Here is a 15510-nt window from a genome sequence, read left to right as displayed (position 1 = left end):
AGGGACCCTGATGTGTCACCTGGGAGGAGGCTCCGGGAGGGAGCTGTGTCAGGGATGCCTGGATCAGGGGGATGGGGCACCTACACCAGGGTGAGCTGGACCTGTGGACTGCAGGAACCCTGCTCTGTGTCATCCATCAGCTCCTCGAGCCCCGTCTTCCTCTCTGTACCTGATTCTCTGGTGTGATCCCTGAGCCCGCGCTAGAGTCCTCCTCACAATGCCTAATGGTCAGATCTATGTGTGGAGACCTAACGGTGGGGGGGTGGGGAGGTCTCGTGTGCTCACACAGAGTGCCCTGGGGACAGGCTTTATGACCTCCCTTGTCCCAATCCCACAACAAGATCTGGACAGTGGGCCGGGTCAGATAAAGTCAGAATCCACGAGAAGGGTGTGTGTCCTGGCAGTGCTGAGGTTTGTGCCCCCAGCTTTACTCTCAGTCTGTTTGCAGATACATTTATGTTGTGCACCTGCAGTTGGCTGGGAAGCCTCATGTCCTTAAATCCTTAGTTATTCCTGTGCAGGTCATGAGGGGCCTGTACCTGGGTACAATGAGGACTATCTGATTAGGGTGGGTGTATTTTACATGGTGGGCTTTCCCTCTCCCAGTGTTTCTTGGATGTAGTCAAATACATAAGATAAAATATGCCACATTAATCATGTTAAGTGTACAATTAAATGCCGTTAATTATATTCACAATATTCTACATCCTCACCACTATATTTTTTTTTCCAGAACATTTTCATCATCTCACATAGAAACTTCATACTATTAATCATTAACTCTCCACCTTCCCCTGCCCCTAGCCCTTGGTAGCCACTGATGCTATCTTTCTCTTTTTTTTTGAGACAGAGTCTCATTCTGTCACCCAGGCTGGAGTGCAGTGGTGTGATCTCGGCTCACTGCAACCTCTGCCTCCCGGGTTCAAGCAATTCTCCTGCCTCGGCCTCCCAGAGGCACCTAGGTGACCTAACTCTTAAGAGCCTGGGGCCGGCAGGTGGGTGTCCTAGGCATAAATGGTGCCCACTGGACTGGAGGAAGGTGAGAAGCCATGGGTATTCCATGTCTTCTCCCAGCTTCCCAGCTCCTGGGTTGGTGCTGTCCTGCAGTAGGCAGTGGGTAGATGGGCATGGCTGCACGTTAGGCTGGGAAACATGTCGTCCTCTCAGACATTGTCACTGCAGAAGGAGGATTCTGTTCACAGGCCTGGTATGGGCATATGGGAGAGACCACCCTGTTCTCATCAGGGGCTTAGACACTGGTGTTCCCACTCCTGGTGCTGCCTCCTGCTTTCCCTGCCCTGGCCCTCAAGGAAGAGCGGCTCCTGGTCAAAGCTCCATCTCTCTCTCTGAGGCTTCAGCATGGTCTCATTGGTGCAGGGGTCTGGGTAAACCTCAGAGAGAGAGGCTCTGAAGAGCGGGGCACCTGCTGGGGATGCAGAAGGGTCCCCACTATGCTTAAGGGGAGTAATCCTGAGGGTCCCAAGGCTCCTCACCACTACCAGGTGCCAAGAAACTCCCAGCAAATTGGGGCTGCCTTGTGGCGAAGCACCTCCAAGCCTCGCTGCCTGCCATGTGCAGTGATTGGTGGATCCCAGTTAGGGGCATCTTGGCAGGTGGTCACAGATTCAGGGCTGGACTTGGTGCTCACAGTCCATATGTGTTGTAGACCCCAGGCAGGGTTCTGTGGCATGGTTTTGGATGTTCACAGGTATCTGCCCTGGAGAAGTGGGCAGTAATTTGACTTCCAGAAGTTCTTGACATCTGCAGATCCGGGCGACAGCCAAGTGTTCAAGGTTCCAGTGACCACTGGTGTGAGGGCACAAGGTAAGCATCAGGCCACCAGTGAGGCTCACCACCCTCCAGGCTGGTGCCCCTGGGAACAGGAGCGACATTCTAGGAACACAGCTTTATCGAGCAAGGTTAAGCTCCCTAGCCCCCTATTTTGACCAGGGAAGCTCAGGCCTCTGCTCTTCGTGGGGCTGGTTGCAGGCAGCTGACTTTGGGGAGGGGGCCCAGGAGCTGCCTTTAGTTTTGCATTTAAGATTTAAAGGGAGAAAAGACAATACATTCTGCCAGGGAACAAAAATTACAGGCAGCATATTGACTGAAGGGCACTCCTGTCATCACTGCAACACACATGGAATGCTTTTTCTAAGAAAAAAATATCTGATTTAGCTTTACCAGCAACTGTGATGCATGTTTTATTATTCTAGTTTACTGTTAGTGTAACTTTTGTAGTTTTAGCACTGGTAATAATTTTATATGGGCTCTCTTAGGATTTTAGACTCTCATTCATTCACATAAAGGTCTTCTTCTCTCTGAATAGTAATGCGATTTCCCTTTTTCTATTTCCTCTGCATATTCCTGTGTAGAGAGCATACAGTATACACCCTCAAGAGGTGGAAAGCATCTGACTAACAGAAAAAGGGTCCAAATGCTGCTGGTAATGGTGATGGGGACACAGGTGGAGGTAATTCAAAGAGGTGTGAGAAAACTTATCTTGAGAACCTTCTCCTCAAAAATCACATGGAGAAGGCACCTCTTAGGCCTGTCACATTGTTGAAATGGACAAGGGACAGAAATAGAGGTCATTAATTCGAGGATCAAATCCAAGAGTGGGCAACTGATTCTTCCCAGTGTCTAAGAGGTGGATGGGTGAATGGTGAGAATATTAAAAACACCCTTCCTCTCTTCCTCCTAATGAAGGAGCACCCAAAGCTCTCAGGAATCAGAGAGGGCCCAGGGCTGGGGAAGCAGGGCACTGTCACCACACAGGGGTTGGGAGTGAGACACCAACACTATCCAGTCAGTGATAACATTTACTTAGGGGGATAGATTCTTCTTTAAGGAATGATCTAAAAGTATATGAATTTGAACATAAAGAGAAAAAAGAGCATAAAGCACTTCTAGCCTAGATTTTTCCTCTTAATAAAACATGTTTTCTAATGACAGATGTGGCTATGTTCATGGCTGAGATGTCTCCTAGATGGTGAGAGCCTCAAAGTGGACTGTCCACTGCCTTAGGCTGTGGGCTCACGTCATACATTTCCCTTCCCAAAGTCTACAGAATTCCCCACATTCCACTTTGTAATGTAACCCAGTGAGTGTCATTCCAGTTGTGGTTACAGGCCCTTGGAAAACCCACTCTGCTCCTGCTGTGAGGTACAGGCAGCCATGTGGCATCAACTCTAAACACTCTAAATGTATCTTCTCCTGGGACATCAAACTGCTGATTAAGTAAAACTCTTTTGGAAAGATTTTGAAGTCTGCAGTTTCTACCCCTCTCACACTTGTGATTCTTCTCCCAAGAGGTGAAGGATTTCGCTGATGAGTCACTTTTAGAGACTGACGTAGATCAGTGATTCTGCCAGAAGCAATTTTGCTCTCCAGGGGACATTTGGAAAGTCTGGAGACATTGTTGGTTGTTAGAGCTTGGGGAGGGAGTCCTGCTGGCATTTAGTGGGTAGAGTCCCCAGATGGTGCTGAACACCCTACAACTTACAGAACCCCACTAGCACGACCACCCCAAATGTCAATGCTGAGGAGTGGAGAGCTCTGCTGTACCCTCCCCCGGCCTCCCTGGGGCTTCCCCTTACCTGCTCCTCCCATCTCTCCCGACCACTCCCCTACTTCAGCCCCCTCTTTGCACCTCAGTCCTCTCCATCTGAGCCTTAGTCCAAGGCCAGCCCTGATCTCTCAACTCTCCTGGCCCCTTTTTGCTCATTAACAGGAGGCGCCCACTAGAGGACGCCATCGCCCTTCCTGGAGCTCATGTCCTCCCTTTCCTTCCTGAGACAAATGTGGCTGCTTTTACTGCCACAATCCCAGCCCTCTGCACTCTAGATTTGCTCAGGGGGCAGCTCCTGGACAGGCATCAGGGACTCAAGGGAGGACCCTCAATCTGGAGATTTTGGTGGCATGGACTGGAGACCTGGAGCCACCCCAGGGGTCACGTCATTGGGGAAGGGCTGGGTTCAGTCGCGGGAGCTACACACTCAGGGTCCAGATGCCCCTGCTCTGTGTGGGCACTGGGGACATGGCCGTGCACCTGTGTCCCTAAAGGTTCTCTCACTCAGGATCTGTGTCCAAGGGCCTTAGCTGGGCTGCTGTGGAACCGTCCACACTGGGCCTTTCCCAGTGGGGGTTGAGTCCTCCCTGGGATTTCAAGAAGGGCCCTCAGCTGAAAGAATCAGGAGGGATGTGGCAGCCTCCAGGGTGCAGGTTCCCCTCAGGGACAGAGGGGACCAGTGGCCTCCAGGCCAATCCATCACCCCCAGAGTCAGTCCCCTGGGCATGGGGGGACGTGTGATCCTCCTGACCGCACCTCCATAGGACCCTGTTGCTGGGTGGTCTGTGGGAACGTGACCTCCACTCCTTGCAATGCAGAACAGGGACCCCAGAGGCCCTTTTGTGTGGAATGAGACAGGAAAGATGCACGTTAGGGCAGGAGTTGTGTCCCTAGAGGCGGGGGCTGTGAGAGGATGGGCAGCGGGGAGGTACACAGACCGTCCAGTGCTGCAGGCTACATCGGGGTGGGAGCATTTCCTTAGAGCACTCAGGCTTGTCCAGAACATTCCAGAACTTCCCACTTCAGTGCTTCTTTTCCCACTGAGGCTCCTCAGGTCTGTCCCTGAACTCTCAGCTGAGCCTCCCGACCCGTCTGAAGCCCTGAGCCCTGTGTCACCCTCTGTCCGCGTCATCTTGTGCAGCTCTGTGGGATGCCCAGCTCTCTTGACACCCCTAGTCTTCAGAATGGAGGCCAAGTCCTGCCTTCCTGTCAATCATGGGGCCAGCTCTAGGATCCCTTGTCCTGACCATCAGTCACCCCCAGGAGGGGCGGCAGTTGAGCCAAGAGGAGGAGCAAGGACAGATGTCAGCCACCCTGTGCACCTGCAAGTCAGACTGGGGGCATGGGAGGACCCCAGGAGTGACTGAACTTCCTGATTTAAAGGGTGCTAGCTTGTGCTTAGGGAATTTGAGATAGTAGAAAAAGTAGGGTTATTTCCTATTTTGTAGGCACAGTAGTTTAAGTTTGGAATCACAGATGCCCCTTGGATGTCACGGTCAACCTCCGTCCCACCCAATGGGGCACGAAATTTGGAATCCACACCCTGGCCCAGGGCAGTCATGGGGGCTCCTGTGTCTGTGCAGCTGCTGCAGGAAGATGTGCTCTCTGTTGGGAACAGTGCTCCTGCCTCCCTGGAGGGCAGTACCCAGCTCCCTGCAGCCCCCTCCCTGGAGGGCAGTACCCAGCTCCCTGCAGCCCCCTCCCTGGAGGGCAGTACCCAGCTCCCTGCAGCCCCCTCCCTGGAGGGCAGTACCCAGCTCCCTGCAGCCCCCTCCCTGGAGGGCAGTACCCAGCTCCCTGCAGCCCCCTCCCTGGAGGCCCCACCCTCTCTAAGTCTCTCCCCTGCCTAGCCCCATCTCAGCCCTCACAGGGTCTCTGAGCTGATGGGGCCCAGGGCACTGCATGGGTCATTCACGCTGTTTGCTCTGCCTGTGAAGCCTGCCTGGTGCTGTCCAGGATCCTGCACTTTCCCTGTGTGTGTGTGTGTGTGTGTGTGTGTGTGTGTTTGTGTGTGTGATGGGCCTACACACAGGTGAGCTCTCATGGTGAGGGAATTTGACTCATTTAACAAACGTTTATTTAAATGCAGGGGTCATGGAGCAGGGCTTCTACTTATGATAGACGATGGTTTGTGCTGTAGGTTGGACCACCCTTCCTAACTGCTCATGGCCTCTCTTTGCACTGACCTTGGGTTCCATCACTAAAGGGGATGCTGTTTCCTTCCTTCCACATTGGTCCTGGGCTTGGTCATGTGACTTACCGAGGCTGATGCATGCAGGGGAGTGGCCTGGGTCAGTCGCAGCCATGCCATGGGGGCCTGGCATGGTGTCCCACTCTCTCCTGATCTGCCACGAGAGCAGGGTCCCGTGGTGGCCCCTTCATCTCGGGTGCATTCAGCGATCCTGTCGTGTCAGGGTCCCCTCAGAGTCACCCTAGGAAAGGCCTAGAGTGCTGGCTCCTCCCATGCGGGCTCTGAGGTTGGAGCCCGGAGCCTGGTTGCCCCCATCCAGGGAGCTGCCTTCCCTTAGGCCTGGGTGTCCTCAGGAAGCTCTGACCCCAGCAGCTCTGCTCTCCAGCCCCCATGGCTCTGGCGTCAGCTCCTGCCATGTGTGGGCATCAGAGGGCTCTGCCCTGTCCTCATGCTCTCCCCATGGGGTGGCCAAAGGAGAGCCTCTGCGGGAGGTTGAGGCCCACGGGTTGGAGCCTGTGTGGCCATCGCAGGCAGCCTTGCCTGGGGCTGATTAAAGGGGAGGTTACAGTGATTCACTGGGAAGACGGGTGCTTGCTGGAGCTGTGTGGACATGTTTACCGGGTGACGGAGGTCCCTCTTTTTATTGTCATTGGCGTCTGCACTGTCTCCATCATGATGATATGATGTGGAATTTTAGGAAGGCCAAATTGCTTCTGTTCTGCTAGTTGTAATTTTTTTCTAGCTAATCTGTCTATGTAGTAAAGGCAATGATTGATTTTCAGGTGTTAAAATCACCTTGCATACCTGGGGAATGAACTCAATGCAGTAAATCTTAGCTCCTTCTGGTAATGTTTTATTTGTGGATTTTCCCTCTCTGCACCCAAGTAGGGCCTGCAGTTTTACTTCCTCATTGTGTCCTGGTCTCCTTTTGACATGAAGGTTTTATTGCCACAAAAGTGAGTTAATGAGTATTTGTGTTTCCTGTTCTCTGGCAGAGTTGTGTAAGTTTGATAAGAGCTGGTGTTTGTTTTGTGGATCTTTTTTTGTTAACCCAAAGAGATTTTATACTTTCTTTTCTTTTTCTTTCTTTCTTTTTTTTTTTTTTTTTTTTTTTTTTTTTTTTTACAGAGTCTGGCTCTGTTGCCCAAGCTGGAGTGCAGTGGCACAATCTTGGCTCACTGCAACCTCTGCTTCCTGGGTCCAAGCAATTGTCCAGCCTCAGCCTCCCGAGTAGCTGGGATTACAGGCGCGCACCACCATGCCCAGCTAATTTTTGTATTTTTAGTAGAGCCGGGGTTTCACCATATTGGCCAGGGTGGTCTTGAACTCCTGACCTCAAGTAATCTGCCCACCTCAGCCTTCTAAAGTGCTGGGATTACAGGCGTGAGCCACCGCGCCCGGCTGATTTTATTCTTCTTTTCCGGTGAAGTAAAATGAACACAGCAGTAATGTCTGCATTCCTATGTGCTCATGAAAGCCCTGCCCAGATTAAGATACGGCACATTGCCTGCACTAAGTGACACTCCCGTGACCCTCACAGCCATTGCAAGGCACAGGTCACCTCCATTCTGATCTCTAGCAGCAGAATTGGGTTTTCCTCTTGGAAACTTTATAGAGGTGGAATTAGTGATCATTTTCTATTCTGCGATTGACTCCTTTCTTTCAACTCTATGTGTGAGATCATCCATGTTCTGTGCAGCAGCAATCCCTTCCTTTCTCATGTTCCAAAATATCCCTCAGTTTGAATGCACCACAGTTTTATCCCCTGCACTGTTGCACATTTGGACTGTGACACTTTTTGATTCTTCTGAACCATGCTGGAATTTGACACAGATTCTCCTGCCCGATAGCTGAACACATCTAAATTTCCACAAGTAACATCTCCATGTCCACTTGTTCCAACTCTTGATGTTGTCAATCCATTGGGTTTTAAGCTTTCTCATGTGGATGGATGAAGATTTGATGATGAGATTTGAAACACCTATTTGTTGGTTGAGATTTGGGAAGGAGGAAGAGGTCAGAGGAGGGGCAGGAGCTGCTTTCATCTCTGGACAGAAGGATCCTTGCTGTGCCTCACAGAGCAGAGACCCTTAAGGTCCCGAGTTCTCAAGGACAGGCACGTGCTGCCCCCGCCTGCCCCGGGCACAGCCCTGAGGCCCGGTCTCCTAGGAAGAGAGAACTGGCTTCCCCTGGGTACAGACTGTCCCCACATGTATTGTACCTGCAGGGTCTGGGGCTGGGGTTTTGTTGTGGTTTCAGGGTGACTGGGACAGACGCAGAAGTCACTGTGGCCACCCAGGGTCGACCCTCTCAGTGGCAAAGGGAGGAGCTGGGGCCCTTTCCTCATTGCCTAGTCCTGGAGACCAGGGATGTTTCCTGATGTGCCTTTCAGACTCTGATGAGAGTGTCCCCAGAGACTCAGCTTCTCCCAACACCTCTCAGGGGACAGGTCCAGGCCAGGGCTGTCCAGGGCATCTGGAGAAAGACCCAGAGTGGCTGGAGCAGAGAGGGTAGTGGATGGGCAGAACCAGCAGCATCTGGCTGGGCAAAGGCGCCCCTTCATGGGCAGTGTCCCCAGGTTGTGACTATGGGAGGGAACTTGGCAGAGCCCAGGGAATCCCACGTGCCCACTCCCACAGACCCCCCATTGCTATCACCCTCCCTGATGGGGCAGCCTTTCCTGACATCCATCTCCCCATCTGGGCTCCCATGCCTCCTCAGACCAGGTCCTGCCTGCCCTCAGGTTTCTCTCTTTGGTGCCCCCAGCACATGCCATGACCCCTCCTAGCAACACAAGCTCCTGGCTTTACATGGACTCCCCAGAACCCACCAGGTAGATGTGGTCGGCTTCCGGATGTTCCTTCAAGGAATCCTGAGGGACAAAGGGAGAGCCCAGCCCAGGAGGACCCTGCATGCCCATTCATCAGTCACCTGCCTGGGTGGGGACACTGGGGTCCTCCTATCCTGGGGATCCCCTGTCCTGCTCCTTCTCCATCTGAACCCCGGCCATCTGGTTCTATGGGGCATGGAATCCCCCACCCCATATACAGAGCAGGAAGCCACGTGCTCCCACTCTTGTTCATGGGACCTGGCCTTACTTGCTGAGATGGCTTCACACTCATAGTCCAACCCTGGGCTGCAGCCCCACAGAGCCTGTGTCCTCCTTTCCTGCCCATTTCTGGGTTTCCCTTCCTGCATCACCTTCTCCCTGTGGCCCCGCCAGCTCCTGCTCCAGGCATCTGCCCCTGGGTCACTGCCTGTCACCATCTCTGGGCTCACTGGCCTCTGCCATTTATTCTTTGCCCTGAACCCTGTGAAGGAGGAAGGGTGAAGCTGAGATGGGCGCTGTCCAAGGTTCTGTCCTTTCTGGACTGCTTGACAGTGAGGGACCCTGATATGTCACCAGAGAGGAGGTGTGTGTCAGGAGTGCCCAGATCATAGGGGGCAGAAAAGGCTCCCGGGACAAGGGAGAAATCCATGATGGGGGAGAATCAGCGTCCTATTTTGGGAAGAATGAGAGCAGAGAGGTCATTGTCATGGGATTGAAACTGGCCTGTTTGGGAAATTGGGCTGTTATCTCCCCTGATGGCTCTAAGGTTAGGTAGCACCTCAGTTTCCCTTTGGTGACCTGTGACGTTGGGGAAGGACTGCATTGTGCTGTTGGTCTGGTCTGTTGGGGCCTGGAGCAGGAGCTCAGCCACTGCCATGGCCTCCTCTGACTGCTGTTTAGCAAAGCTCTCAGGCAGGGCTGATGGCGCTGTCCTGGGGAGGCCCTTTCAGTAGCAAGGCTGGTGCACCCCTGTCCCCTGGGTGGATGACCCACCCTCCCTAGGGCTGACCTCTGCTATCTCCTGGCCTCAGGTCTGTCAGCTCCACATACAGAGCCCTGGGAATCCGAACCTGGGGGATTATTTTCTTTGTGATGCAGAAACCCAGCTAGCCAGGTCTCCCCATGCTCTTTAGTGCTTGTGAAGGTGGGATGATGCCCAGCAGGAAGGTGACAGAGGTGGCTCTGGGGGCTGGATAGGAGCTCACTGTTTACTGAATCCACCCACCCAGCAAGGGGGTATTTGCAGGCTCAGGATCTGAGGGGTGGTCCTGGACATGGTCACAAAGTGGAGAGTGGAAGGGCCTGGACAGGCTGGGTGAGATCAGCACCTACCATGGCTGATGCAGTAACTACAGTCCCTGAGGTGTGAGACAGAGAACCTGGACCTCCCAGGAAGCCATGTCCTGGAATGTCCTTTATGTCTCTTGCCAAATGGTGGGGAGAGAGGACAAGGCCATTGTCCTATTTCAGCATGTCCAGGCCTGAGTAGAGAGTCTGGCCATGGCAGGGACACTGAATTCAGGGAGAATCTAAGACACATATGCCCCACCAGTGTCCTGCACATGCAGCCGGCCCTGCTTTCCCTCGGGGCCTTGATCCTTCCTCTCAGGCAAACCCTGGTGGTCTGACTCCTTTCTTGGGTCCTCGGTCCCTTTCCTGGGTCAACATTCTCCTGGTTCAGCATCTGATGGTTTTTCCCCTCTGGCCAGGACAGATGTGACTTCTTCAGACCTTTCCTCAGCTTCTGTCTCCTGGACCCTCCTTACCCTAGAAGTAATGGGTCCTGGGTTATCAGGGTATTGGGTGGATGCAGCCGGGCCAGGGACTGGGGTGCTGTGTCCAGGGTGGGAGGCTGAGATCAGGAAGCAGAGCTGGTCATTGCTGAGGGAAAATGACCAAAGGTAGATGCAGGGAAGTAAATCCTGGATGGTCAGAGACAAGAACCTTCCAGGCTGGGTCTCGATGACCCTTCCTCCCTGTCCCCTGACGTCCTTTCTCCCCTGCCCAGGCCCCGTTGGCCCAGCCCCAGGGAAGCCATTCCCATCTAGGAGGTCAGTATGGGTGATGAATGTTCTGGCCCTGCAGGACCCAGGAGGACCCATGATCTTTCCCACCTGCTGTCCTCACATGGCCCCGGGGATGAAGGCCATGCACAGACCCTAGCCTGTGTCCTTCTGTGAAGGTACAGAAAATGGGGCCATCTGATATCAACAGAAAGGTGAGCAATGAAGGAGCATCCATGGGTGGTGCAGATCATGGGTGTGGTTTTCACTCAGTCCCCAGTGTCTCGAGCCTTCCTGCCCTCTTCACCTAGGCCCTCGTGGGATTGTCATCACTGGCCTCCACAAATAAACGTCTTTCCCCAAATCCAGAGTCCTGGTTGCTTAGTCTTGCTAACCAAGGAGTGAGAAGAAGGCAGATCCCAAATGCATTCTCCTGGATTGGGAACATGAGCAACCCCCTTCTCCTTCCCATGCAAAACATTTGATGCAGGGGTGGTTCCTTCACTTCTTGCCTCGTCATATCTCTGGGCATTTGGTGCACCTGCTCACCTGGATTTGGACTTTGGGTTGCCCCTCTGTTTCTGTTCAGAGAACCTGGGGCAGTGATAGTTTGCCTGCTCCTCTCCCAGGTATATTTTTAGGCATTTGACAGCTGTCCCCCCAGACCATGGTTGGATCTGGTGTTTGTACCTTCCTTACCCTAGAAGTAATGGGTCCTGGGTCCAATGGTTCTCAGGCCACTGGGAGCCCTGAGGGTAGGCTTGCCTGGTTTGGCTCCACCCAGCTTCACCCTTCACTTCTGGGGCTGAGTATGGAGCCCAGGTCACTTGGGTTAGACAGACCAGCTCACTGTCTAAAGCACTAAAAAGCTTCTTCTGGTAAACAAAGCATAAGCCCCACTGCTATCACTGCAGTACTGCAGTTGGCTCTCTCTCTCTCTCTTTTTTTTGTGAGATGGAGTTTCACTTTTGTTGCCCAGGCTGGAGTGCAATGGTGTGATCTCAGCTCATTGCAACCTCTGTCTCCTGGGTTCAAGCAATTCTCCTGTTTCAGCCTCCCGAGTAGCTGGGATCACAGGCACGGACCACCACATCTGGCTAATTTTTGTATTTTTAGTAGAGATGGGGTTTCACCATGTTGGCCAGGCTGGCCTCGAACCTGACCTCAGGTGATCTGCTCACCTTGGCCTCCCAAAGTGTTGGGATTACAGGTGTGAACCACTGAGCCTGGCCTGCAGCTGGCTCTTTACCTTCAAATGACACCTAATGGCTTGGAGGCTGATCTTCTAAACCCAGTGCAAAACTTGACAATCAAGTGCATGGAACTTGGGAACAAGATAAGTTTCTTTTATTATTATTATTATTATTATTAATTTTTTTAAAGATAAGGTTCTTGAGATCTCTGCCACTCTAGTTCTGCAGGAGGCCATGAGTTTGCTCACATACCTGACGCACTGCTACAGTCACTGGCATTTGAAAAAGCCACCACACTAAGGCTATCTATAACCAAAGAATTCATATAGAGTGTCTGCCATTGAAAGCACCCAGAAGGAAAGCCAATTGACCCTACTCAACATGCAATATAATTGCAATTTCAAGAAAAAAGTTCCATCAAAAGTAAATTCAAAAATAAAAAGAAGTGACAGTTTCTACAAATGAGAAGGAACCAGTGTAACAATTCTGGAAGCATAAAAAAATAGGATAACACCCCAAAAAGATCACACTAACTATCCAGCAATAGATTCTAATGAAAATAAAATCTTTAAGATACCAGATAAAGGATTCAAAATATTGATTTTCTAGAAGCTCCATTAGATCCAAGATAAATATGAAAACTAATGCAAAGAAATCAGAAAATCAATTCAGGATATGAATGAGAAATTTACCAGAAAGATAGATATTAAACAAACAAACAAATGGAACTTCTGAAAATAAAAAAAAAATTGAAGGAATTACAAAATGCAGTTGAAAGCTTTAACAACAGACCAGATCAAGCAGAAGAAAGAATCTCAGAACTTGAAGACAGGTCTTTATAATTAATCCAGTCAGAGAAAAATAAAGAAAAAACATTTACAAAGGAACAAAACCTTTGAGAGGCATGGGGCTAAGTAAAACATCCAAACCTAGGAATTATAGGTATTTCTGAGGGAGAAGAAAAACTGTAAAGTTTGGTCAACCTATTTGAGGAAATTATTGAGGAAAACTTAGCTAGTCTAGCAAGACATCTAGGCATTCAGATAGAAAAGGCTTAAATAGAACCAGGCAGATACATTGCAAGAAGGACCTCACCGCAACTATAGTTATCAGGCTGTCTAAGGTCAACATGAAGGAAAAAATCCTAAAATCAGCAAGAGAAAAGTGTTTAATCTCCTATAAAGGAAACCCCATCAGACTAGCAGTAGACTTCTCTGCAGAATCCCTACAAGCCAGAAGGGATTGAGAATCTATTTTCAAAGTACTTAAAGAAAAAAACAACAATAAACATCAACTTTGAATTTTTTATCCTGCAAGAATAAGCTTCAAAATGGAGAAATAAAGTCTTTCCCAGAAGCAAATTCTGAGGGAATTTAAGAAATGCTCGAAGGAGTTCCAAACAGAAAAGAAAAGTCCATAAACTAAAAAAAGAAACAAGCTACAAAGTAACTAGCTGACAATTATCATTATGACAGGAAGAAAACCTCACATGTCAATATGAACCTTAAATGTAAATGGATTAAATGCTCCACTTAAAAGATACAGATTGGTGAAACAGATTAAAAATATGAAACAGATAAAAAAACATGATCCAAGCATATGCTGCTTGCAAGAAACTCTACTTATTCATAAAGATACTAACACACTGAAGGTATATACAGATATATTTATATCTGTCTCTGAGGAGGGGTCTGGGGAGGCCTGAGGGGTGACTGGTGCTCCTGACACTGAAACCTGATGTCTCTGCTAAAAATCTCTGGGTGGGTCTGTAAGGGCCCATCACGTTTCTTCATATGAGGAGGCCCAAGAATTCTGCTGAGGGAGAGGAGGGCGAACTCCCCAGAGAGAGAGAGGAAGGGAGGAGGAGGAGGCACAGAGCCCCAGCCCCACCCCTGGATTCTGATTTCATCAGGCTCTGCTCCCTTGTTCTGAGGACTTTTGGGGTCAAGTGGAGCCTTATCCACCCAGACACCCTGGCTCTTGTGAGGATACACGGACACGAATCCTCCCTTCTACCCACACATGCTCCAGCCGGCCCTCAAGTGTGAATACTGTGTGGGATCCCTCTAAGTGCACACAGAACTTGACCTGACATAAGACCACAATCTAATTTTGATGATTCGCTGGGGGTAGAGTAGAGAAGAGCTTGCGTGAGAGATATCTAGAATTTAAAGCGTCAAGCAAACGTGATCAATGCTTAATGATCACGTTGAGTTAAACCTATCCTGATTTTTCCGTCTACACTTTCCTCATTGTCCCCCAGAGGGCAGCAGAGTCCCTCCCGGCCTGGCACCTCCCCAGCGTCCGCTGACGTCCTTCAGCTGGACTAGAGTCCCCCAGGGTATACCCTCACCAGGATCACCTCGACCCACCTCCTCCTCGCCCTCCAAGCTCCCCAGACGCACTCTGTCAGCTCCTCCTTGCAGTCCAGTGGCCGTCCACCAAGTCACAACTTCTGCGGGCAGCTCCTGCCCCCACATCGCCTCCTCCCTGGGGCTCAGCCGAAAGGCATCTCCTAGGGCAGCTCCCTGTGATCCTCAGAGCACATTCACAGCCCTTCTCTCATTAGCATTAGCTCTTCAGTCCCATGATGTTCACTGAGCACCTGTCTCCCTGTTACAGGGAAACTCCATGAGCACAGGGGCCACGTCTGTCCTGCTTTTTGTGGAATCCCAGGGCCCAGTCCAGTGTCTGACATACAACAGATGCTCAACAAATACTGGTTAAATGCGTGGGCGGTCACACAACAGAAGCACATCACCTCTGTGTGACCCCCGGAGTCAGGGTCTGTTCTTTGTGGACACAGAGGCACTGGTGCCAGCATGGGAGGAGGCCAACAAGTGCCCAAGGCTGCCCCAGGGACAGGGCCTGAACCCTCAGAGCTTCAAGAGGGAGGACAGGGCCTTCTAAGAGAGGGGGGTCAGAATCTGACTCATCCCAGAACAGTGACACCCCTTCCCCGTCTCTGACTTGTGAGTCATGTCACGACTCCCAGGGGGCCTGGGCCAGCAGCCTATGTCCTTCCTCTTCTCACAAAGACACCTGACCTGCTGCAGACTCTGGATCCTCCATCCCAGATGGAGTGACCACCAGGGGACCTGATCACAAGGAAGTTGGGTGATGACACCCCACCCCCGAGGGTCCCTGGAGATGGGGGCTCCTGGCTGTGGTCTCTGGAGACCTCTAACCAGCCCAAGGAGACCTGGGGACCCAGGGGAACTTCCCCTGCAGGAGGACAGGATAACCCAGGATCTGCCTTTGTTTCCATCTCAGAGAGGCTAAGGGTCATAGGGCCTCCCCCTCCCATAACAGAGGAACCAGGAAACCCCTGCCTGAGTATCCAGGTGGGAAATGCCCCAGCTCCTGGGTCCTGCCAGGAGGCCTGGAGCAGACGACAGACAGGGACACAGATGACCTGGAGGCAGCACCCCCAGTGCTGTGATGGAGGAACACAGGGCTCTCTGGGGACCACCTCCTAGGCTGGTGTCCTCTCTCTGAAGCCCCCAGAGACACCTCTCTGGGTCCTACCTTTGAAACCTTGGGGACAGGTGGCTCCTTCTGAGGCAGCCTATCCCCCTGGTGGACAGTTCTCCAAATCTTGATTTGCTGTTCTCTGGACAACTCCTGTCCTCTCCTTGAGCTCATCCTGCACTGCATGGAGTTGGGCAGCCTGGGACTCTCCATGAGCAGGACCTGGGGTGACCTGATCCTGTAGCTTGGAGGTC

This window comes from Homo sapiens, chromosome 19, assembly GCF_000001405.40.
Source record: "Homo sapiens chromosome 19, GRCh38.p14 Primary Assembly".
Lineage (NCBI taxonomy): Eukaryota > Metazoa > Chordata > Mammalia > Primates > Hominidae > Homo > Homo sapiens.
The sequence above is the reverse complement of the archived record's forward strand: the minus strand, read 5'-3'. Positions refer to the sequence as shown.